This window comes from Homo sapiens, chromosome 12 (genome assembly GCF_000001405.40).
Source record: "Homo sapiens chromosome 12, GRCh38.p14 Primary Assembly".
Taxonomy (NCBI): Eukaryota; Metazoa; Chordata; class Mammalia; order Primates; family Hominidae; genus Homo; species Homo sapiens.
This window is the reverse complement of record NC_000012.12, coordinates 104,011,692-104,036,856: the sequence shown is the minus strand read 5'-3', so window position 1 is coordinate 104,036,856 and position 25,165 is coordinate 104,011,692. Positions and strand designations below refer to the sequence as shown.

General features: G+C 41.9%; 1 protein-coding gene and 1 pseudogene across 18 annotated transcripts in view, besides 1 other annotated feature; one reads left to right on the top strand and one right to left on the bottom strand.

Annotated features, from left to right (window-relative positions):
* Positions 1 to 25,165, top strand: part of GLT8D2 (glycosyltransferase 8 domain containing 2) — a 75,451-nt gene that overhangs the window by 27,581 nt on the left and 22,705 nt on the right. For 13 of the 18 annotated variants that reach the window (NM_001384713.1, NM_001384719.1, NM_001384718.1 and 10 more), the window contains 3 exons: positions 15,366 to 15,500; positions 17,181 to 17,227; positions 21,752 to 21,844. In NM_001384713.1, the coding sequence (NP_001371642.1) occupies positions 17,209 to 17,227; positions 21,752 to 21,844 (112 nt within the window). In that variant the 5' untranslated portion in view covers positions 15,366 to 15,500; positions 17,181 to 17,208. Of the gene's footprint in view, positions 1 to 7,144; positions 7,162 to 15,365; positions 15,501 to 17,180; positions 17,228 to 21,751; positions 21,845 to 25,165 lie in introns of those variants that run through there. The other 5 variants (NM_001316967.2, NM_001384716.1, XM_047429631.1 and 2 more) reach the window with 2 other exon arrangements.
* LOC643576 (phosphoglycerate mutase 1 (brain) pseudogene) lies at positions 4,391 to 6,128 on the bottom strand (annotated as a pseudogene).
* Positions 22,268 to 22,490: a silencer, noted in NCBI's record as "fragment chr12:104408145-104408367 (GRCh37/hg19 assembly coordinates)". NCBI's record gives its function as "represses an EF-1alpha promoter that drives an FKBP-Casp9 reporter gene in an ReSE screen in phorbol 12-myristate 13-acetate-treated (for megakaryocytic differentiation) K562 erythroleukemia cells {active_cell/tissue: K562(+PMA)}" and the evidence as "EXISTENCE:reporter gene assay evidence [ECO:0000049][PMID:32094911]".

The following is a 25,165-nucleotide window of genomic DNA, read 5'->3' as shown; positions in this document are numbered from 1 at the left end:
TATTCTGTTGATTTGTGGTGGAGAGTTCTGTAGATGTCTATTGAGGTCCACTTGGTGCAGAGCTGAGCTCAAGTCTTGGATATTCTTGTTAACCTTCTGTCTCATTGATTTGTCTAATATTGACAGTGGGGTGTTAAAGTCTCCCATTATTATTGTGTGGGAGTCTAAGTCTCTTTGTAGGTCTCTAAGGACTTGCTTTATGAATCTGGGTGCTCCTGTATTGGGTGCATATATACTTAGGAAAGTTAGCTCTTCTTGTTGAATTGATCCCTTTACCATGACGTAATGGCCTTCTTTGTCTGTTTTGATCTTTGTTGGTTTAAAATCTGTTTTATCCGAGACTAGGATTGCAGCCCCTGCTTTTTTTTTGCTTTCCATTTGCTTGGTAGATCTTCCTCCATCCCTTTATTTTGAGCCTGTATGTGTCTCTGCACATGAGATGGGTCTCCTGAATACAGCACACTGATGGGTCTTGACTCTTTATCCAATTTGCCAGTCTGTGTCTTTTAATTGGGACATATAGTCCATTTACATTTAAGGTTAATATTGTTATGTGTGAATTTGATCCTGTCATTATGATGTTAGTTGGTTATTTTGCCCATTAGTTGATGCAGTGTTTTCCTAGCATCGATGGTCTTTACAATTTGGCATGTTTTTGCAGTGGTTGATACTGGTTTTTCCTTTCCATGTTTAGTGCTCCCTTCAGGAGCTCTTGTAAGGCAAGCCTGGTGGTGACAAAATCTCTCAGCATCTGCTTGTCTGTAAAGGATTTTATTTCTCCTTCACTTAGTTTGGCTGGATATGAAATTCTTGGTTGAAAATTCTTTTCTTTAAGAATGTTGAATATTGCCCCCCACTCTCTTCTAGCTTGTAGAGTTTCTGCTGAGAGATCTGCTGTTAGTCTGATGGGCTTCCCTTTGTGGGTAACCTGACCTTTCTTTGTGGCTGCCCTTAACATTTTTTCCTTCATTTCAACCTTGGTGAATCTGACAATTATATATCTTGGGGTTGCTCCTCTCGAGGAATATCTTTGCGGTGCTCTCTGTATTTCCTGAATTTGAATGTTGGCCTGCCTTGCTAGGTTGGGGAAGTTCTCCTGGATAATATCCTGAAGAGTGTTTTCCAACTTGATTCTATTCTCCCCGTCACTTTCAGGTACACCAATCAAATGTAGATTTGGTCTTTTCACATAGTCCCATATTTCTTGTAGGTTTTGTTCATTTCTTTTTACTCTTTTTTCTTTTAACTTCTCTTCTCACTTTATTTCATTAATTTGATCTCCAATTGCTGATACCCTTTCTTCCACCTGATCGAATTGGCTATTGAAGCTTGTGCATGCATCACATAGTTCTCGTGCCATGGTTTTCAGCTCCATCAGGTCATTTAAGGTCCTCTGTACACTGTTTGTTCTAGTTTGCCATTTGTATAATCTTTTTTCAAGGTTTTTAGCTTCCTTATAATGGGTTCAAACATCCTCCTGTAGCTTGGAGAAGTTTGTTATTACCAACCTTCTGAAGCCTACTTCTGTCAGCTCGTCAAAGTCATTCTCCGTCCAGCTTTGTTCCATTGCTGGCGAGGAGCTGTGATCCTTTGGAGGAGAAGAGGCGCTCTGGTTTTTAGAATTTTCAGCTTTTCTGCTCTGGTTTCTCCCCATCTTTGTGATTTTATCTACCTTTGGTCTTTGATGTTGGTGACCTACAACTGAGATTTTGGTGTGGATGTCCTTTTTGTTGGTGTTGATGCTATTCTTTATTGTTTGTTAGTTTTCCTTCTAACAGTCAGGTCCCTTAGCTGTAGGTCTGTTGGAGTTTGCTGGAGGTCCACTCCAGACCCTGTTTGCCTCGGTATCACCAGCGGAGGCTGCAGAACAGCAAATATTGCAGAACAGCAAATATTGCTGCCTGATCCTTCCTCTGGAAGCTTCGTCCCAGAGGGGCACCCACCTGTATGATGTATCAGTTGGCCCCTACTGGGAGGTGTCTCCCAGTTAGGCTACATGGGGGTCAGGGACCCACTGAGGGAAGCAGTCTGTCTGTTCTCAGAGCTCAAACACCATGCTGGGAGAACCACTGCTCTCTTCAGAGCTGTCAGACAGGGATGTTTAAGTCTGCAGAAGTTTCTGCTGCCTTTTGTTCAGCTATGCCCTGCCCCCAGAAGTGGAGTCTACAGAGGCAGCTGGCTTTGCGGAGCTGTGGTGGGCTCTGCCCAGTTCAAGCTTCCCCACCCACTTTGTTTACCCACTCAAACCTCAGCAATGGTGGACGCCCTTCCACCTGCCAGGCTGCTGCCTCGCAGGTCGATCTCAGACTGCTGCGCTAGCAGTGAGCAAGGCTCCATGGGCATGGGCCCCACCAAGCCATGCACAGGATGTAATCTCCTGGTGTGCTGTTTGCTAAGACCACTGGAAAAGTGCAGTATTTGGGTGGGAGTGTCCCGTTTTTCCAGGTAAAGTCTGTCACAGCTTCCCTTGGCTAGGAAAGGGAAATCCCCCGACCCTTTGGGCTTCTCAGGTGAGGCAATGCCCTGCCCTGCTTCGGCTCACCCTCTGTGGGCTGCACCCACTGTCCAACCAGTCCCAATGAGATGAACGAGGTACCTCAGTTGGAAATGCAGAAATCACCCATCTTCTGCATCAATCACGCTGGGAGCTGCAGACCAGAGCTGTTCCTATTCAGCCATCTTGGAATGGAATCCAGGCATACATAATTTTTAAGGAAGTAAGCATGTTCTTGTAAATATTGTCTGAATAATTAAAATGACATAAAGTTATTGATAAGAACATTTTATCAAATATTAGTTCTCAAATAAGAGTTTTTTGTTTGCTTTCTTCAGCTTTATTGAGGTATAATTAACAAATAAAAAATGTATATATTCAGCCAACCCTGGTAGCTCAAGCCTGTAATCTCAGTGCTTTGGGAGACCAAGGTGGGAGGATTGATAGAACCCAGGAGCTCAAGGTTACAATGAGCTATGATTGCACTACTACACTCCAGCCTGGGTGACAATCCTGTCTCTGAAAAAAAATATATACATATATATATATATATATACACACACACACACATATATACACACACACACACATATATATATATTTTCAAGGAGTACAATGTTTTAATATACACATTGTGAAATGATTACCACAATCAAGCTAATTAACAAATCCATCACCCTCACGTAGTTGCCTTTTGCGTATGTGCAGTGAGAACTCTTAAGATCTACCCTCTTAGTAGATTTCAAGTATACAATACATTATTAGTAATAACAGTCACCATGCTGTGCATTAGGTCTCCAGAACTTGCTCATCTTATAACGGCAAGCTTGTACCCTTTGACCGACATTTCCCCATTTCCCCACCTCTCTGTCCCTGGTAACCACCCTTCTACTCTCTGTTTCTGTAAGTTCAACTTTGTAGATTTCTCATATAAGTGAACATGCTGTATTCATTTTTCTTTACCTGGCTTATTTCACTTAGCATAATGTCCTCCAGGCTCACCCATATTGTCACAAATGGCATGATTTTCTTCTTTTCTAAGGTGAAATAATATTTTATTTTGTGCATATATATGTCTACATACACACACATACTCATATATATACCACATTTCTTTATCCACTCATCCATTTATGGACACAGGTTAATTCCATATCTTGGCTATTCTGAATAGTGCTGCGGGCTGGGTGCGGTGGCTCACACCTGTAATCCCAGCACTTTGGGAGGCTGAGGTGGGCAGATCACCTGAGGTCAGGAGTTGGAGACCAGCCTGGCCAACATGGTGAAACCCTGTCTCTACTAAAAATATACAAAAATTAGCCGGGCATGGTGATGTGCACCTGTATTTCTAGCTACTTGGGAGGCTGAGGCAGGAGAATCGCTTGAACCCCGGAAGCGGAGGTTGCAGTGAGCCAAGATTGTGCCACTGCATTCCAGCCCAGGTGACGATATAACGAATCACTGTCTCAAAAAAAAAAAAAAATAGTGCTGCAATGAACCTGAGAGTGTAGATCTAGCTTTGATACTGATTTTCTTTCCTTTGGATATATACCCTAAAGTAGGATAGCTGCATCATATGGTAGCTCTATTTTGAATTTTTTGAGAGACCTCCATATTGTTTTCCATAATGGCTGTTCCAAATTACATTCCCACTAGCAATGTACAAGGGTTCCCTTTTCTCTGCATCATCACCAACACTTGTTATCTTTTGACTTTTTGATAATAGCCATTCTAACAGATGTGAAGTGATATCCTATTGTGGTTTGGATTTGAATATCCCTGATTATTAGTGATGTTTAGTATCTTTTCATATACCTCTTGGCCATTTGTGTGCTTTCTTTAGAGAAATGTCTATTCTGGTCCTTTGCCTATTTTTTTTTTTTTTTTTTTTTTTTTGCTATTGCACATCACTCCTTTATTATACTGATATGGAAAAAGGATTTAGTACAGTTATGCTCAGATGAACACTGGACCCATGTGGCAGGGTCAAGCAACTAGAACATGATTCAGAAATCAGTGAAAGATACACTTGGACAGGACCAAGAGGCATTTCACTGCCATGAAACAAGGCAGGAAGGGATTCTAATACACAAACCAGGAAGCACTCCTGCCCCTCAGAGGTCAAGGAGCTGATCCTATATTGGTATGAGGAATGGCTTATTTTCTGATGACCACATGTGGGACTATTTCAACCGCCACAAGAAACCCCAGAAGGGTTATTGTTTTGTATTATTTATATATACTATACTTTTTTAATAAAAGTAAATTAACACATAACGAAATTCAGGATTGATCCCAACCTAGAGCCAGATCCTCTGGGGTCAGGGAGGAAACAGTTGTCACATCACCACGCAGGTTACATTCGTCTTCCACTGGAATGACTAGAGCCCCCAGGCAGTAGGCAGTGACCTGACTGCAGAAGAGCAGAGGACAGACTCCGCTCATGGGGACAGACAGGCTCTGTTGCTTCTCCTCACTGGTCATGGCTTAGCATGGTTCCTCCCCAAAGTCCTTAGTAAACAAAGCACTCGCAAAAACCCAAGTCACTACTTTTAAACTCTGTTGGATAAGGGGAGCTTTTCCATAGCTTAGACTGAGAACCTGTGCTCTAGAACTGCTATTCTGACTAGATTGTATGAAGGGAGTGGGTGCAGGCGACAAAATGGCTAAAATGAAAATGGGAGCCACTGGTCCCCATCTGCAGCTACAACTCAAGATGTCTACAGATGTGGTCAGTGTGACATGTGCAGGTGGGAGGGGCAGAGGGACAAGATGGGCAGGGAGGGTGCTCCTGGGGACAGTATCTTCCCCGCCGGCCTTCACTTCTTGGCCTTGCCCTGGGCAGCCACAGCTTCCATGGCTTTGCGCACCGTCTCCTCATCCCCCAGAAACTGCATGGGCTTGATAGGCTTCAAGTTCTTGTCCAATTCATAGACAATGGGAATACCAGTCGGCAGGTTCAGCTCCATGATAGCCTCTTCAGAGAGACCCTCCAGATGCTTGACAATGCCCCGGAGGCTGTTGCCATGGGCTGCAATCAGTACACGTTTCCCCTCCTTGATCTGGGGAACTATTTCTTCATTCCAGAAGGGCAGAGCTCTGGCAATAGTATCCTTCAGACTCTCACAGGAGGGTAGCTGATCTTCTGTGAGGTCTGCATACCTGCGATCCTTACTGATGTTGCTGTAGAAAGGATGGTCGGGCTCCATCGGAGGTGGTGGGACATCATAGGAGCGCCTCCAGATCTTCACCTGGGCCTCACAATGCTTTGCAGCAGTTTCTGCTTTATTGAGACCGGTTAGACCCCCATAGTGCCGCTCATTGAGGCGCCAAGTCCTCACCACTGGCAGCCACATCTGATCAATGGCATCTAGCACTGTCCAGAGGGTCCGGATCGCTCTCTTCTGCACTGAGGTGAAGCAGATGTCAAACTCATAGCCAGCATCTCGTAGCGCCTGCCCGCCGCGCTTCGCCTCCTCGTGGCCCGCCGGGCTCAGGTCGGCGTCGTACCAGCCGCTGAAGCGGTTCTCCAGGTTCCATGCGCTCTCGCCGTGCCGGATCAGCACCAGTTTGTAGGCGGCCATGGCGGCGGGCTGGGGATGCGGCACCGACTGGGATTAGCAGATTCCGGAGTCCTTTGCCTATTTTTAAATCAAGTTATTTGTTTTTTTGCTATTGAGTTGTATGAGTTTCTTATATATTTTGGATATTAACTTCTTATCAGGTATATGGTTTGTAAATAATCGCTCCCATTCCACAGGTTGCTTTTTTATTTTATTGATTGCTCCTTTGCAGTGCAGAAACTTTTTAGTTTGATGTAGTCCCACTTGTTTGTTTTTGTTTTTGTTAACTGTGCTTTTGGTGTCATATTCAAAAAATCATTGCCAAGACCAATGCCACAGAGCTTTCCCCCTGTTTTCTTCTAGTTTTACAGTTTCACATCTTACACATTTAATTATGTTATTATTAAATTAATAAATAATAAAAATGAATAATTACTTATTTAATATGTAATTCATTTTGAGCTGGTTTTGTGTATGATAAAGATCCAATTTTTTTGTTGTTAATATCCAGTTTTCCCAGCACCACTTACTAAAGAGACTATCCTTTCCCCATTGTGTATTCTTTGTGCCTTATGGAAGAATAGTTGACCATATATGCGTGGATTTATTTCTGGGCCCTCTATTCTGTCCCATTGGTCTATGTTCCATTGATCTATGTGTCTGTTTTTATGTCAGTACCATACTTTTTGGATTACTATAACTTTGTAAATATAATTTAAAATTAGGAAATGTGATGCCTTCAGTTTTGTTCCTGCTCAAAATTGCTTCAGTTATTTGGGGGCTTTTGCGGTTCCATATGCATTTTAGGATTTTTTTTTTCTATTTTTGTGAAAAATGTCATTGGAATTTTGAAAGGGACTACATTAAATCTGTAGATTGCTTTGGGTGTTATAGACATTTTGACAATGTTGATTCTTTCAACCCCCATCACTTTTTTGAGGGCATAACTATATAAAGTTCTAGAATGTTAGATCTAATAGAATTGTCTGCTTCAGTCATAATAATGAGGAAACTGAGACGGAGAGAGATGGAGTTATTTCCCTAGAATCACACGATCATAATGGCTTGTATAAGTGGGGTTCCAACTGTTTGCCAAGTACTGTTGTAAGTACTTAATGCATGTAAATGTATTACTGCATTTAATCCTCATAAAGCCTTATATTACCTTCATTTCCTCAACTTTTTATTTAGAAATTGTTTTAATTTATAGAAAAGTTGCAAGAAGAGTATAATGGCTCAACCAATTTAGCCACATTAGCATTGTCTCAGTACCTCTCACTCTCTCTCTTTCTACACACAAACAACCCTGAACCTCTTGACCTTTCACCCCTAAATTAATGTATGTGTCTCCTACTATCAATGATATACTCCTACATAACCATACCACATTTATTCTCTCAGGAAATTTAACATTAATGCCATAATATTTCCCCAATTTCCCAAAAATAAACTTTGTAGCTCTTTTTAAACATTTGGTTCAGGATGCAGTCAAGGTTTACACTTTTTTTTTTGAGATGGAGTCTCACTCTGTCACCAGGCTGGAGTACAGTGGTGCAATCTCGGCTCACTGCAACCTCAGCCTTCCAGGTTCAAGCGATTCTCCTGCCTCAGCCTCCGAAGTAGCTGGGACTACAGGTGCACGCCACCATGCCCAGCTAATTTTTGTGTTTTTAGTAGAGATGGTGTTTCACTATGTTGGCCAGGATGGTCTCGATCTCTTGACCTCATGATCCACCTGCCTCAGCCTCCCAAAGTGCTGGGATTACAGGCGTGAGCCACTGAGCCCAGCCAAGGTTCACACTTTCCATTTCATTGTTACATTATCAAGCTTATAGAGTTCCCAACGTGGTTTTTTTTTTTCCTTTCATGATATTGACATATTTGAAGAGACCAGGGCAGTTCGTCTTCAGAATGATCCATGATTTGGATTTGACCATGACGTTATCCATGATAGAATCAGGTTAAATATCACTGGCAGGAACATATTGATATTTGTCACACCTCAAGGCACAGGATTTCAATTTGTTTCATTTTGTTGATCTTAAGTGTGATTACTTTGAGAATGTGAATTTTCTGTACCCCAACAACATTTTACCCCCTATCACTTTAGCATTCATTGAGGTTTTTTGCCTGAATTACTTATTAACATGTTGATTGTAAAATGGTATTACAGACATTTTATAAGTGAGGAATCTTAAGTTTCCAAGGGAAGGGGTTCTTATATGGTTCTTATACATTGTGCAGCTAGGATTTGAACCCAGGTGGTCTGACTCCAAGGCCCACAGTTTAATACACTAATTGTACTGGAAAAGGATTTCCACATGATTTTCCACTTGACTTTAGTGCCCTCAGTCAGAAACTGTGTCTTGTCCACTTGGGATTTTTTTGTTTTTTGAAACCCAGGAAGTGCCACCATCAGAGATGAGATGAAATTGTAAAAAGGAAGGATAGGATGAAATTCAGGCATGCCAAATCTTTATGCAATTATACACACACACACACGCACATGCACACACACACATCATTTTTTAAAGCAAACTTTCTGTTGAAACTGCATGCTTCTCAAGGACACCACTCCTGCCATATGGCTTAAGGTTTCCTACAATAATCAGCTTCGGGAACTTACCTTCTTGGCTCATTACTGCTGTGCCTTGCAATTGGCATGCGATTATCTGCATCCTAAAGCTTCTTGTTTCATCTTAAAGAGATTTCAGAGTTGGCAACACACTGGACGGGGAAAGATGAACCCCCTGTTCAGATGAATCAGCATTTACTATTCCTCTGCCTCTGGAGTGGTCTCATAGTTACAGTAACCGAGCACTCAGGAAAGAGCTGACCAGCATTGCCTGTGAGCTGTAAAGCTTCATCAACACACGGTGAAATCTGTTATCTGGACCCCAATTCTCCTAACCTCTGGTGTAGCCGCAAGGGCCCTTTGAGAGCTCAGCACTTTGTGGTTAAGGGCTTTGAAGTCAGAGAGCTCTAATTTTTAATCCCAGCCCCATCATTTACAAGATTTATGATTTTGAGCAAGTTACTGAACCTCTCCGAGCCACAATGTCCTCATTTGAAAAATGGAGATAGTAATACATCCACTTGAAAGGTGTTAGAATTAAAGGAGATAATGTACCTAAATAGCCTGGAGCTGCGTGCAAATTAAATTCGCAATAAATGATAGCTATGATTATTATCTGACCCCTACAAACTGCTCCCCATATTCACACACCATTCTGGCCACAGCAAATTTATTTGTAAAGACTTTTGTTTGTAAGAAACTGAACCTCATTTCAAAACAGTTTAAGGAAAAATTGTGAAGTTACTGGTTTTCATAACTAGGATGTCCAGGAAGTGGATGGCCTGAGGGACTTAGAGCTCAGCTTCCTTCTGGTCTTTGCCCCGTTCTCTCCTGTGATACCAGATGGCTTCTTTCATGGAGTGGGAGGAGGAGCCACATGGCCAAAGACCATTCTAGGCTTCCATCATCCCCGAAAGTTAGATGCATACATATCACCTAAAATCCTAAATGGATAAAAGGTACCTGAAACCCTATCTCAGAAAAATCCTAAGTAGTGTGCTGTTTTGACCCATTTCTTTTCCAGGTGCAAAAGGGGAAGAGGAGAAGGGTCATTGCCATGCACTCAAAGCTCTTGGGTGTTCAGTCTATAGCCCGGGAAAATAAAAGGAACATTGTAGCTGGTTGTTTACAGTGAATTAAAGAGTTGAATCAAATCTCTGTTGAAGAGTTTTCCTAGATGACTGCCAGCAAATTCTCATAACACTTTGGTTCATGAAACTGTGGGGACCTATGATATCCTTCCTTTCTCAATTACCTCCTCGGGCTATCTCTGTCATGTTGTTAGTTTCTAAAGGTTATTATTCCTGGTTTGCAGTCTGCAGCCTCCCGTCAAATGTCAAGTTCAGAAGTTCCTTTTAAAGACCATAGTTAAGAAGGATCAACTTAATTTTAAAACAAACTTTGAGTTTTCAAGACAAATTGTTTTTCATGGCAAATTAACTTTTTTTGTGTGAGATAGAGGAAGTCAGTTGCCAACTCCTGGGGTAATTGGCAAAATGTCACAAACAAGTGAATGACCATAAAAATGTGACAATATTTAACTTTAGATTTTACAGTAAAATGAATGTTGTCATCTAAAATCCTTATCTAATGGTTAAATTTTATTTTTTCATCAAACCTGTCCTATCCTATGCTTTGCTTAATGCCTACCACTTCTCCTAATGAATATCCAAGGTATTGTATTAAGCATATAGATAGATACATTGTAAATTGGGAAAACCGGGAAACAAAGTCTTAACAGGTATATTTCGAGAATAGAGGGAGGGTGTCTTAGCCTTCTTGATTTCAGAGCACAAATAAAATACTCCAGAATATAAAGCAAAGATCGAATTAGAATTTGGGGAAATGTTTGGTTGAAAGTTTTTCATGGTAGATCAACCCTTTTCTTGCCTGCTTGGTCCTGATAGTACTCTGAGAACATTATTGAATTTTTTTTTTTTTTTTTTGAGACAGAGTCTTGCTCTGTCGCCCAAGCTGGAGGGCAGTGGTGTGATCTCGGCTCACTGCAACCCCCTTCTCGCAGGTTCAAGTGATTCTTGTGCCTCAGCCTCCCGAGTAGCTGAGATTACAGGTGTGGCCCACCACGTCCAGCCAATTTTTGAATTTTTAGTAGAGATGGGGTTTCACCATATTGTCCAGGCTGGTCTTGCATTCCTGGCCTGAAGTGATCCGCCAGCCTCAGCCTCCCAAAGTGCTGGAATTACAGTTGTGAGCCACCATACCTGGCCACATTATTGAATCTTTATTTGATGATGTAGCTCACTTTTTAGTCACTGATGACTAATCATATCTGTAATTCTTCCTGTAGAAAGTATAGGAGATAATAAAAAACCTGTGTGGATCACTTGCTCCCTTCTTTGGGACACATGTCATCCTCTAGGTTCAAACTCCTTGCCAGATTTGAAGTCCCCTTTGAATACCCTGAAATTGGAACAAAATATTAAAGAAAAAAATCAGTTCCACAGAAGGAATAACAAATGGTCTCAACAAATGGCTTTCTCAACAAATGGTCTTGGAACAACTGGATAACCATATGCTAAAAGATTAAGTTTAATCTACATTTCATGATATATACAAAAATTAACTCTGAATGTAAATATTAAGTCCAAAACTATAAAATTCTCCCAGAAAACATAGGAGAAAGTCATCATGACCTTAGGTTAGGCCAAAATTTATTAGATATGATACCAAAAGCATGATCTATAAAAGAAAAAAAGGCCAGGTGTGGTGGCTGATGCCTGTAATCCCAGCACTTTGAGAAGTCAAGGCAGGCAGATCACTTGAGCTCAGGAGTTCAAGACCAGCCTGGGCAACATGGCAAAACCCCATCTCTACAAAAAATACAAAAATTAGCCAGGTGCAGTGGTGTGCACCTGTAGTCCCAGCTGCTTGGGAGGCTGAGGTAGGAGAATCGTTTGAGCCTGGGAGGTGGAGGTTGCAGTGGGCCAAGATTATACCACTGTACTTGAGCCTGGGTGATGGAGTAAAACCCTGTTTCAAAAAAAAAGAAAAAAATAAAATGAATTTGACATCATCAAAATTAAATACTTTTGCTCTGCAAAATTTATTGTTAAGAGACTGAAAAGACAAGTCACATACCAGGGGAAAGTATTTGCAAATCGCGTAACACAGGGCTTTTTTTTTTTTTTTTTTTTTTGACAAAGTCTCACTCTGTTGTCTAGGCTGGAGTGCAGTGGCACAATCTCGGCTCACTGCAACCTCCACCTCCCAGGTTCAGGCAATTCTCCTGCCTCAGCCTCCCGAGTAGCTGGGATTGCAGACCTGCACCACCACGCCTGGTTAATTTTTGTGTTTTAGTAGAGAAAGGGTTTCACCATGTTGGCCAGGCTGGTCTTACACTCCTGACATCAAGTGATCTGCCAGCCTCAACCTCTCAAAGTGCTGGGATTACAGGCATGAGCCACAGCACTGAGGCCTAACACAGGACTTGTATGCGGAATATATAAACAACTCCCAAAACTCAAAAATAAGAAAATAATTCTATAAAAATGCACAAAAGATTTAAACAGACATTTCGCCACATGTGGATGGTAAATAAACACACAAAAAGATGCTCAACGTGAGTAATCATTAGGGAAATGCAAATTAAAATCACAATGCAATTCACCCATTATAACAGCTAAAATAAAAAAAATACCGGCAATACCAAGTGCTGACAAGAACACAGAGCAACTGGAACTTTCTCACCATGCTAGTGGGAATACAAAATGAAAATGTTTCCACTCAGGAAAAAAGATTGTCAGTTTCTTTCTTTTTCTTTTCCTTTTTTTTCAGACAAGGTCTCTCTCTGTCACCGGGGCTGGAGTGCAGTGGTGCGACCATGGCTCACTGCAGCCTCGACCTCCAGGCTCAAACAATCCTCCCACCTCAGCCTCCTGAATAGCTGGGACCACAGGTGCCCACCACCATGTCTGGCTAAATTTTTTTCTCTAACTCCCCACATTTGTTTTTTGAGGGTTTTTTTGTTTGTTTTGTTTTGCTTTCATACAGACAGGGGTCTCACTATGTTGCCAGGGCTGGTCTCGAACTCCTGAGCTCAAGTGGTCCTCCCATCTTGGCTTCCCAAAGTGCAGGGATTATAGGCATGAGCCACGGCAGCCAGCCTAGATTGGCAATTTCTTATAGAGTTAAATATATATCTACCCAAAAGACCCAGCAATACCACTTCTAGGTAGTTACCCTCTATTCACACAAAAACCTGTAAACAAGTGTTTACAGAAGTATTATTCATAATCACAAAACAATGGAAACAACCCAAATGTCCTTCAGTGGGTGAATGGATAAACTGTGGTATATCCATTCAACGGAATACCATTCAGCAATAAAAAGGTACAAACTATTGGTAAAGGCAATAGCTAGTATGAATCTCAAAAACATTATGCTAATTGAAAGAAGAAAGTCTCGCAAAATATTACATCCTGTAGGATTCCATTTATATGACATTCTGGAAAAGACAAAACTACAGAGACAGAGAACCTATCAGTGGTTGCCAAGGGCTGGGTGTTGGGCAGGGCCTGACTACAAAGTGGCGGTGCAAGGGAATTCTTTGAGTGTTGGCATTGTTCTCTACCCCATTTGTGGTGGTCGTTACAAGAATCTATGCATGTGTAAAAGTCCATAGAACTATAGAAAAAAAAGGAAATTCTAATGTATGTAAATTTTTAAAAACTTAAAAATCAGCTTGTCAAATTTTGAAGCTGACATGGTAATATTCCTTTAGTAAATGTGTCATGGAAAAGAAGCCTATTTAAAATGAAAACAGACATACTGAATGTTTATTATACAGAACCATTTGTGTTCCCCTGGGTGAAGCACTCTTTCTGATTCTTCAATGCAGTCTAAAGAATTTAGAAAATACTACCTAATAAAAAAGAAATAGTATGCATAGCAATTTTTTAAAATTTTATTTTATTTTAAGTTTTGGGATACATGTGCAGAATGTGCAGGTTTGTTACATAGTTAAGTGTGTGCCATGGTGGTTTGCTGCATCTATCAACCCATCACCTAGGTATTAAGCCCCACGTGCATTAGCTATTTATCCTGATGCTCTCCCTCCCCCTGATGCATAGCAATTTTTAAGAACATCAAGAAAGAAACTCACAGTAGGAAATACGTGTAAATCCAGAAGACTGGAAAAAAATTTGCTTGTCAACATGTATCAAATACCTTGGCAGAAAAATAGTTCTCATGGGCCAATTCTTTATGCTCTGAAGCAGCAGCTGGTCTCTTTTGTTAAAAGAAGTTGTTCTTGGAATACATCTAGTTAATATGCCTCTTAGAATTTGCCCTGCATTTTTCTTATGCAAAGGACTTTATGTAAAAAGTTGGCCTGATAGAACATGAGAATGGTTGATGATGTGACAGTTATAGTTCTTGCTGCTTAGCAAAATATAATGCATCGTGTGTGTGTGTGCATGTGTGTGTGTGTGTGCATGTGTGTGTGTGTGTGTGTGTAGAATCTCCTGTGCTTACTTATATATATGAATAGATAATACATTAGTATGATTTGACATTCTGTAGATGCCAAAGCTGCTATTTATTAGTCAGAACACTCGTGTGGGGCTGTGCCAGCCATTTATAGCTGGTACCCATTTTGATTGATCAGTGCCAAGGGCCATATGAGTTATTAAATATGTTCAATATAAGTCCTGTAAGACTATCAACTGAAAAAAATCTCCCTTTTTCTACCAGCTGACCTCTATATTTTCTGTAATCTTCAACACAGAGACAAAAAGGCCTTTTAATATTGGGTTACTTGAAGTTGGGTAGAGGTGTGTATTTTAATTACTTTAATCGTGTATAACAATGTGAAACAGGCATATCTCATCGCAAATCTGTCCCTGACAGTCCTCCAGCCTTTCTTCCAGGGATCTCTTTCTTTCCATTTGTGTTCCCTTCTCCTTGCAGTCACTCTGAAAGCCTGCCCTCTCCTGATATTTATCTGGGACCAGATAAACATCCTACTGTGGGATGAGATAAACTTTCTCATCCCACAGTGACCATCCCCTGGAATATTATTGCTGTGACTTGGGGCTACAAAAAGACACACGACAAATATGGCAGCTCTTCTGAAAGGAGCAGTTTTTCTTTTTTTCTTTTCTTTTCTTCTTTCTTTCTTTCTTTTTTTTTCTTTCTTTCTTTCTTTCCCTTCTTCTTCTTCTTCTTCTTCTTCTTCTTCTTTTTCTTCTTCTTCTTCTTCTTCTTCTTCTTCTTCTTCTTCCTCTTCCTCTTCCTCTTCCTCTTCTTCCTCTTCTTCTTCTTCTTCTTCTTCTTCTTCTTCTTCTTCTTCTTCTTCTTCTTCTTCTTCTTCTTCTTCTTCTTCTTCTTCTTCTTCTTTCTTCTTCTCCTTCTCCTTCTCCTTCCTTCCTTTCTCTCTTTCTTTTCTTTTCTTTCTTCTCTGTCTTCTTTCTTTTTCTTTTTTAAAACAGGGTTTTGCTCTGTCTCCCAGCTGGAGTGCAGCAGCCATGGCTCACTGCAGCCTCAACCTCCTGGGCTCAAGTGATCCTCCTTCCTCAACCTCCCGAGTAGCTGGGACTACAGGCATGCACCATGATGCCTGCTAATTTTTGTATTTTTTTGTAGAGATTGTTGCAGGGGGGGTCTTATAATGTTGCCCAGGCTTGTCTCCAACTCCTGGGCTCAAGCATCTGCCCACCTCGGCCTCCAAAAGTGAGCCACCACGCCCAGTAAAACACTTAAAATGTCACTTTAGGTCCTGTGGGAAGAGCAGCGTGGAGGTGGGCTGAGGTTAGAAGGTGCAGAGCGTGGAAGAAGATTGTGAGCTGAGTATTGGACATCTGTTCTTGAATAGTCCCTGGGCCTGCCATAGGAAAGGAAGTTCTCCAGGGTAAGTGACTTGGACTTTTCCTTTTCCTCTAATAACATTTTTTCTTGGGCTGTGGCCGAACCTTAGGATTCGGTTCATCCCTTATTCAGACCAGGTTAGCTTTTCCCTGCTCTCACCTAGCCATCCCACCTAGGCACAGAAGACCTTGCTTTCATAACAGATAGCTTTCTCCCTGAGGGGGGAACTCTGCCAGCAGTTAAAGGAGTGATTCCTTTCCACTACATTCTTGCACAGTTCCCATGAATTTGAAGGTAAAACAAAAAACATGAAAGATACTTTGAGCTCATTGTGAGCAATGTTGAGTATTCACTCTCCTTTACCATCAGAATTCCCTTGGGAATGTTTGAAAAACAGTGCTTTAGGGCTTTAACAAAGTTAAACACTGATGGAGGGGGTTTAATGCACTTAAAATAAAATCCAAACTCCTCTTCAGGCACAGTAGTATCCGGCCCCTTGGTACCTCTCTGACCTCTTCCATCCAGTCTCTCCTTTGGTCCACTATGATCCAGCCAGTTTGAGTTTCTTGCAGTTCCTAGAATACTTAGAGCTCTTTCCAGCCCCAGGGCCTTTGCACTTGCTGTTCCCTCTGCCTGGGATGCTCCTCTGCATGTTCTGCCCTTGACTGGCTCTTGCTCTTCTTTCCCTCCAATGCCATCTCCTCAATGAAGTTTTTCCTGATTTCTCCTCCTGATGCACTCCCTACCCTTGTTCGTCTTTATCCCAACATCTCCTTTGCTTCCTTCATAGCACTTACCATAATCTAATACTTTTATGTGTCACATTTTAATATCTGTTTCCCCCACTGGACCAAAAGCTTCAGGAGGATAGGGACCAGTACTGTTTTGTTTTTCGGTGCATCACTGGGAAGTGGCACAGTGCTGGGCTTTTAGTAGGATCTCAATATGTAAATACTGAATGAATGATTGAATTGAGTATAATGCATGCCCCTCCAAGGGATTCTTGAAGATGTAAAATCTGCCTTATCGAGGAACGAAGTTATGATAGTAGAAAGATGGCATAGGGTTGATATTTTAGATCAGGGAGATCTAGTGTGATACTTCCAGTTTCTGCCATCTGCTCTGCTGACCCAGAAGGCTGACAGAGCTCTTTTTACAAGAGGTTAAAAAAAATTCTGGGCTGGGCACTGTGGCTCACATCTATAATCCCAGCACTTTGGGAGGCTAAGATGGATGGATTGCTTGAGGCTAGGAGTTCGAGACCAGCCTGGGCAACATGGCAAAACCCCATCTCTACTAAAAACAAAAAAAATTTAGCTGGGTGTGGTGGTGCATGCCTGTAGGTCCAGCTACTTGGGAGGCTGAGGAAGGAAGATCGCTTGAACCTGGGAGGGGGAGATTGCAGTGAGCCAAGATCGCACCACTGCATTCCAGCCTGGGTGATGGAGCGAGACTCTATCACCAAAAAAGAAAGAAAGAACTTCTGAAGACAAAAGATTAGCTTTTGAGGACCCTTAGTAAGGTTTGTTCAACCAGAGGCATTGCTTTTGAAGACATGGGCTAGTATTTATTTTGTTTCCAAAATTTTAGATTTGGAGCAGTAAAAAATGATCACACACTTCACGATATATCAGTCTTTCAGGGAAGGCATAGTCCTTAACACTTGTTGATGAGTTTTAAGTTGATTCTCCTTTAAACAGATTTTTTTTCCTTTAATCCACAGGTTACAGTTCTTATCCGCGTGAATACACATGGCTCTGTTACGAAAAAGTAAGATTTCAACTTTTGAAAATAATGATTTAAAAACATATTTGGGAGGATGGTTTTGAGGCTGGGGCTTGGCTCTTTTCTTCTTTCTTGGATTGTGTTTGATTTTCATGGATAGTTTTCCCACAGGCACTTTTTGGCATCATCATTTCCAGATGATTCCCATGGAGAGTTGTTCAGTATTTTAGTCAGAAGTGGACTTATCGGCTGGGCGCACTGGCTCACGCCTGTAATCCTAGCACTTTGGGAGGCTGAGGTGGGCGGGTCAGTTGAGCTCGGGAGTTCGAGACCAGCCTGGGTAACATGGAGAGACCCCATCTCTACAAAAAATACAAAAATTAGCCAGGCATGGTGGCGGACACCTGTAGTCTCAGCTACTCGGGAGGCTGAGGCAGGGGGATCACTTGAGCCTGGGAGGCAGAGGCTGCAGTGAGCTGAGATTGCACCACTGCATGCCAGCCTGGGAGACAGAGTGAGACCCTGTCTCAAACACACAAAAAAAAAAAAAAAAAAAGAAGAAGAAGTGGAAGTGAACTTACAGCAGGGATCATATATTTCTATAAAACTTGCAAAAATAATGCATTTTCTCGTTCGGAATAAATATTCATGTTCATAGCTAATTTAGCATTTGTAATTTGTAATTTTGCGTTCTTAGTCTTAAAGAGTCATCTCGAATCTTCATACCCATCAGAACCTGGATTTGCCTCTGATTTTAGATCCAGTAGTTTGTGAATTTGAGGAGAAACATAGTAACCTAATTCTGTGACCCTCAGGGTAGAGTTGCCAGATTCAGCAAACAAAGACTCAGAACAGGACAACCAGTTAAATTTGAACTTCAGATAAACAACAAATAATTTTTTAGTATAAGTATGTCCCAAATATTGCATGAGACATACTTGCCTGGGTAATTTTTGTATTTTTAGTAGAGATGGGTTTTCACCATGTTAGCCAGGCTAGTCTTGAACTCCTGACCTCAAGTGATCCACCCGCCTCAGCCTCCCAAAGTGCTGGGATTACAGGTGTGAGGCACTGCGCCCGGCCGTGGCAGGTGAATATTAATCGGGCCTGTTGATAAACTGTAGAATTTTGTCCATTTTCTGTCCATTTTCTGCTTCTCTGTAGTTTTGTTTTAAATGGAGTCTAGTATCTGATTGTCCCTGGCTGAATCTGATAATCCATTAAGGCAGGGAGGAACTGGGTGTCAGCAAAATAGAATCACAGCCTCAGGATGTAGCTTTGGAGGGCATCCACGAAGACTCTTTTACAAATGGGAAGACAAAGGCATAGAGGCCAAAAAATAGATGCATATGAAGTCAATAGATTAAGTCTCTTGATGCATAAAAATAATAAAAAATAATACAGGCCAGGTGCGGTGGCTCATGCCTGTATTCCCAGCACTTTGGGAGGCCGAGGCAGGTGGATTGCTTGAGTCCAGGAGTTCGAGACCAGCCTTAGCAACATGGTGAAACCCCGTTTCTACTAAAAAATACAAAAAATTAGCCAGGTGTGGTGATATGTGTCTATAGTCCCAGCTACTTCGGAGGCTGAGGTAGGAGAATCACCTGAGCCTGCAAGGTTGAGGTTACAGTGAGCTGAGATCACACTGCTGCACTCCAGCCAGGGCAACTGAGGTGAGACCCTGTCTCAAAAAAGAAAAAAAAAGATAAAATAATAATAACAATGATGCATAACCATTTGTAAAGTCTTTATTGGGCCTGCATTGCCTTGGTTAACTCTCAAAACAGTAGTGCGAGGTAATGCTTATTATTACAATCTTCATTCAGCAGATAAGCACACCAAGCTCAGAGAGGTTAAGATACCCCTCGGCCATACAGCTAGGAGGTGGTAGAAAAGAGATTTGAGTCTGACTTCAAATTCACACCCTCTTCCCTTCTACCAACTTTTCCCAAACTTTAGGTAGGTGTGCACTACACATGCCAACATGCCATCTTCTCAATTTTTCATCAGCTGTGTTCCTTCTGTCCTAAACATTTCTTAATATTTTCTTTAGGCCAGGCACAGTGGCTCATGCCTGTAATTCCAGCACTTTGGGAGACCAAGGTGGGAGGATCACTTGTGGTCAGAAGTTCAAGATCAGCCTGGCCAACATGGTGAAACCCTGTCTCTACTAAAAATACAAAAATTAGCCAGGCATGGTGGTGGGGGCCTGTAATCCCAGCTACTCGGGAGGCTGAGGCAGGAGAATCGCTTGAATCCAGGAGGCAGAGGTTGCAGTGAGCCAAGGCTGTGCCATTGCACTCCAGCCTGGACAACAAGAGTGAAACTCCATCTCAAAACCAATTTTGTTTTCTTTGACTAATTTTAAAAATTTATAAGTGTACTTCATAATAGAAAGTTTTTATCCTTACTGCAAATGAAAACAGAATGATTTCCTATCATTAAAAAAAAAAGGTAGCTTTAAACACATATACAATTAGGAGAATGTGATTCAACTCTGGGTAGCTTTTGTTGTGTTCCTGCACATAAAATCAGAAAGATTGACTTTCTCATATGCTGATTAAATATTAATGCTATGAACATGAACTTCCTCAGTCATTTCATGCACAACCAGTGCTATATGTTCCATACTCAAGAAAACACTGTTTTACACCACTCTACTTCTCAACAGATCTCAAGGGCCAACATCACTGGAACAAACAGAGCTGGAGGCTTGGAGGCATTGAGGTCTTCTGTTTACCAGGGCAAGAATTTCTTTCTTTCTTCCTTTCTTTCTTTCTCTCTTTATTTTTCTTTCTTTCTTTCTTTCTTTCTTTCTTTCTTTCTTTCTTTCTTTCTTTCTTTCTTTTCTTTCTCTTTCTTTCTTTCCTTCCTTCCTTCCTTCCTTCCTTCCTTCCTTCTTTCTTTCTTTCTTTCTTTCTTTCTTTCTTTCTTTCTTTCTTTCTTTCTTTCTTTCTTTCTTTCTCTCTCCCTTTCTTTCTTTCTTTCTTTTCTTTCTCTCTCTCTCTCTTTCTTTCTTTCTTTCTCTCCTTCTTTCTTTTTTGACAGAGTCTCCCTTTGTCACCCAGACTGGAGTGCAGTGGCATGATCTCGGCTCACTGCAACCTCTGCCTCCCAGGTTTAAGTGATTCTCTTGCCTCAACCTCCTGAATAGCTGGGACTACAGGCATGCGCAACACCTGGCTAATTTTTGTATTTTTAGTAGAGATGGGGTTTTGCTATGTTGGCCAGGCTGGTCTCAAACTCCTGGCCTCCAGTGATCCACCTGCCTTGGCCTCCCAAAGTGCTGGGATTACAGGTGTGAGCCACCACACCCGGCCTGCACATCATCCTTGACCAAGGGTTGAATTAACTGAAAAGCAGCTGTGTCATAATGGCTAAGAACATGTATTTATAATTACTACTGGCTCATAAGAAGAATCACATAAATTCAACAAAATAAAAGCCACATACGGCAGACCCACAGCTAGTATCATACTAAATGGGGAAAAACTGAAAGCCTTTCCTCTTACATCTGGAACACGACAAGGATGGCTGCGTTTCACCACTGTTATTCAACATAGTAGTGGAAGCCCTAGCTAGAGCAATCAGACAAGCAAAAAAAATAAAGGGCATCCAAATTGGAAAGGAAGAACTCAAATTATCCTGTTTGCAGATGATACGTTTTTGTTTTGTTTTGTTTTGGAAGGAAGGTCTTGCTCTATTGCCCAGTGGTGTGATCTTGGCTCACTGCAACCTCCACCTCCCAGGTTCAAGCAATTCTCATGCCTCAGCCTCCCAAATAGCTGGGATTACAGGCATGCACCATCACGCCCAGCTAATTTTTGTATAATTTAGTAGAGATAGGGTTTCACCATATTGCCCAGGCTGGCCTTGAACTCCTGGCCTCATGTGATCTGCCCACCTCAGCCTCCCAAAGTGCTGGGATTACAGGTGTGAGCCACTACAACTGGCCAATATAATCTTATATTTGGAAAATTCTAAAGACTCCAGCAAAAAACTATTAGAACTGATATACAAATTCAGTAAAGATGCAAGACCCCTGAGCAACAATAGTGTTCCAGGTTAATTCTTTCTGTTTGTTTGTTTTTGTATTTGAGACAGGGTCTGGCTCTGTCACCCAGGCTGGAGTAATTTTGGCTCACTGCAGCCTCCACCTCCCAGGCTCAAGCCATCCTCCTATCTCAGCCTCCTTAGTAGCTGAGACTACAGGTGCATGCCACCACGCCCAGCTAATTTGTGTGTGTGTGTGTGTGTGTGTGTGTGTGTGTGTGTGTGTGTTTGTTGTTGTTGAGACAGGGTCCCACTCTGTTGCCCAGGCTGGTCTCGAAACTCCTGAGCTCAGGTGATCCACCTGCCTTGGCCTCCCAAAGTACTGGGATTACAGGCATGAGCTACCACACCTGGCCAGGTTAATTCTTTATTCTATATGCTGTCTGCTTATAGAAAGGTCTCAGATACCACTCCTCTGTGTCATGGAAGGCACCTACTCGCACTACCATTCTAAACTTTGTCACGTGATTTCAGGTTCATAGGTTCAATGTTAATGTGTTTCCATTTCTATTTCAGTTAATCAGGTGCTGCTGTTCCTTCTGATCGTGACCCTCTGTGTGATTCTGTATAAGAAAGTTCATAAGGGGACTGTGCCCAAGAATGACGCAGGTGAGCAGACATGGAATTCATTGAGTTGGGATACCCAGGAATGTGGTTTGAATATGTTCCTCTAGGTCCTTTCAATAGCTGGGTTCAGGGACAAGTGACAGTTTGGTCAACTCCCAAGGACCTGCTAGTAGAATATCCGCCCTAGACCACCTTTTCAGTCGTGCCCTAGGATGGTCGGTGCTATTCAAACTTTAGCATGTGTGAGAGTCACATGGAGAGCTTGTTAAAACACAGCACTGGGCCCACCCGTGAGGTGTAGGATCAGTAGGTATGGTGTGGGGCCTCAAGACTTGCATTTCCGATAAGCTCCTGGTTGAGGCTGATGCTGTAGGTTCTTGGACCACAGGGTGAGTGCACTGCTCCACACTCCATCTCTTTGGAGCTTCTCAATGACTTTGCTTATGGAAACCACCCTCTTTCTCCTCTCCCTGCTGGTTCATTCCCATCAGTGCAAGTCAGCCTCATAACTCTCAACTTGAAAATGGCCCTTCATTGGCCCTGTGGTCTCTCCCAGCTGCACTGAGAACCATGTTTCCCTCCTCGGGGGTGAATTGCCTGAGATGGCACCTTCAAAACTCCAATGCACACACAAAGTCAACCTCCATAAAAATCAGGAAGCACTGTTTATTACATTTTTAATTAATTTACTTTTTTTTTTGAGACAGAATCTCACTCTGTTGCCCCAGCTCAAATACAGTGGCACAATAGCAGCTCCCTGCAGCCTCGACCTCCAGGGCTCAAGCAATCCTCCGGCCTCAGCACCCCAGGAAGTTGGAACTACAGGTGTGTGCCACCACGCCCAGCTAATTTTTTGTAGAAATGGGTTTTGCCATGCTGCTCAGGTTCATCTTGAACTCCTGGGCTCAAGCTGTCCTCCTACCTTGGCCTCCCAAAGTGCTGGGATTACAGGCATGAGCTCCATGCCCAGCTAATTTACTTTTTATATAAATCAAGCAAATACACACTTACGGGCTGGCGATGGTGGCTCATACTTGTAATCCAGCACTTTGGGAGGCTGAGGCGGGAGGATCACTTGAGTCCAGGTGTTTGAGACCAGCCCAGCCTAGGCAACAAAGCAAGACCCCATCTGCATGCACACAAAAAATTACCTGGGCATGGTGGGGCATGCCTATAGTCCCAGCTACTTGGGAGCTGGAATGAGAGGATCACTTGAGCCTAGGAGGTCTAAGCAGCAGTGAGCCCTGATAGTGCCACTGCACTCCAGCTTGGATGACAGAGTGAGACTCTGAATACAGTTATTTGGTGTGTTACATACATTTATTCCACAGTTTTGTTTTTTTTTTCAGTCAGACACTTAGGGACTGGAAACACAACAGTGAACAAAACAATATCCCTATTCCCAGGAAGCTGGCATTTCTTTCTGATTATATTTTGTAATTTAAAAATTCATTTAAAAATAATTAAAAACATGTATAATCTGATCTAAATGAACATGGAATCTGCAAAGAGAATGATTTTCATACAAAGACATATATACAAATGTTCTTAGGGTATAATTCATAGTAGCCCCAAACTGGAAACAATTCACATGTACATCAACTCGTGAGGGATACAAAAAATGTAATTTATCTCACACAATGAAATACTTTTCGACAGTAAAAAGGAACAAATGACTGATACAAGCTGCAATATGGATGAACCTGAAAAAAAACTATGCTAAATAAAAGAAGTCAGACCTGAAAGACCATATATTGTATGATTCCATCTATATGAAATTTCTAGAAAAGGAAAATCTATGGAGACACAGAGCAGATCAGTGGTTGCCTAGAGCTGGGAGTGGGAATGGACTGACTGCAGACCAGGCAGCTCAATGGAACTTTCTAAAATTGGATCTTGGTGATGGTTGTGCAATTCTATAAATTTACTAAACATCATTGTACTGTACGCTTACAATGGGTAAATTTTTAAAAATCTGTATTCGTTTGCTTGGGCTGCCATAACAAAATAGCACAGACTAGGTGGCTAGACCATAGAAATGTATTTTCTCTGGTTCTGGAGGCTGGAAGTCCAGGATCAAGGTGTGAGCAGGTTTTGTTTCTCCTGAGGCCTCTCTCCTTGGCATGCAGATGGCCGCCTTCTTGCTGTGTCCTCACGTGGCCTTTTCTCTGTGCTGCATTCCTGGCTGTGACCCTCTGTGTGATTCTCCTCTTTTCCTCCTTTTATTAGGATACCAGTCTTACTGGGATAAGGCCTACCAAATGGCTTCATTTTAACTTATTTGCCTTTTTAAAGGCAATTAAGTGCATGGACATCCTGAGATGCTGGAAGCTAAGACGTTAACAAACGGACTCTGGAGGACACAATTCAGTCCATAGCAGTATCTACACCTCAATAAACTGTTCTAAAAGAGAGAGAGAGAGAAGGAAGTCACATAAAGACAAATGTCATCTGAACTGACTCCACTCTTCATGCTTCAATCCCTGCTCATAAACCAACACATTCACTCAGCTAATCCCACCACAGACTCCCTTCTTCAGGAAAATAAGTGGATAGGTTTTAAAACAGCTGTTAAAACAGCTCCAAAGAAATGCACATCCTGACTGCCTAATCAGACCTATACAGAGAAACAAAGCATTTGGACCGCATGAATGGATCCATTATCACATGTTTATCCATTCAGTGTTAAAATTTTTTAAAATCGATGTTATAAAATACCATTCAAACGAATGTAGCATTGGCATGGAAGAATGCTTGTGGTATGTTAAATGGGAAAAGCAAGTTGCAGAAGAGACTGAAAAGTATGATTCCATTTTGGTTTTTAAATAATAAGTGTTTAAGGTATATATATATATATATATATATTTTTTTTTTTTTTTTTTTTGAGACAGAGTTTCGCTCTTGTTGCCCAGGCTGGAGTGCAATGGTGCCATCTCGGCTCACCACTACCTCTGCCTCTGGGTTCAAGTGATTCTCCTGCCTCAGCCTCCCGAGTGGCTGGGATTACAGGCATGCGCCACCATGCCTGGCTAATTTTGTATTTTTAGGAGAGATGGGGTTTCTCCATGTTGGTCAAGCTGGTCTCAAACGCCTGACCTCAGATGATCTGCCCACCTTAGTGTCCCAAAGTGCTGGGATTACAGATGTGAGCCACTGCGCCCGGCCCAGGTATATATTCTTTAGTATTACCATTAAGAAGGGTTTAAGGGGCACACACCACACTGGTTGTGTTATATATTGTTATAAAGCAGAGGTCTACTTTTGGAGTGGGAGTGAGAGGTCTGCAGAAAACAGTCACAATTTACCAAATACTCTTCTGTTTGGGCTGAAATTTTTTCAATAATTATGTATTATTTTTTATAA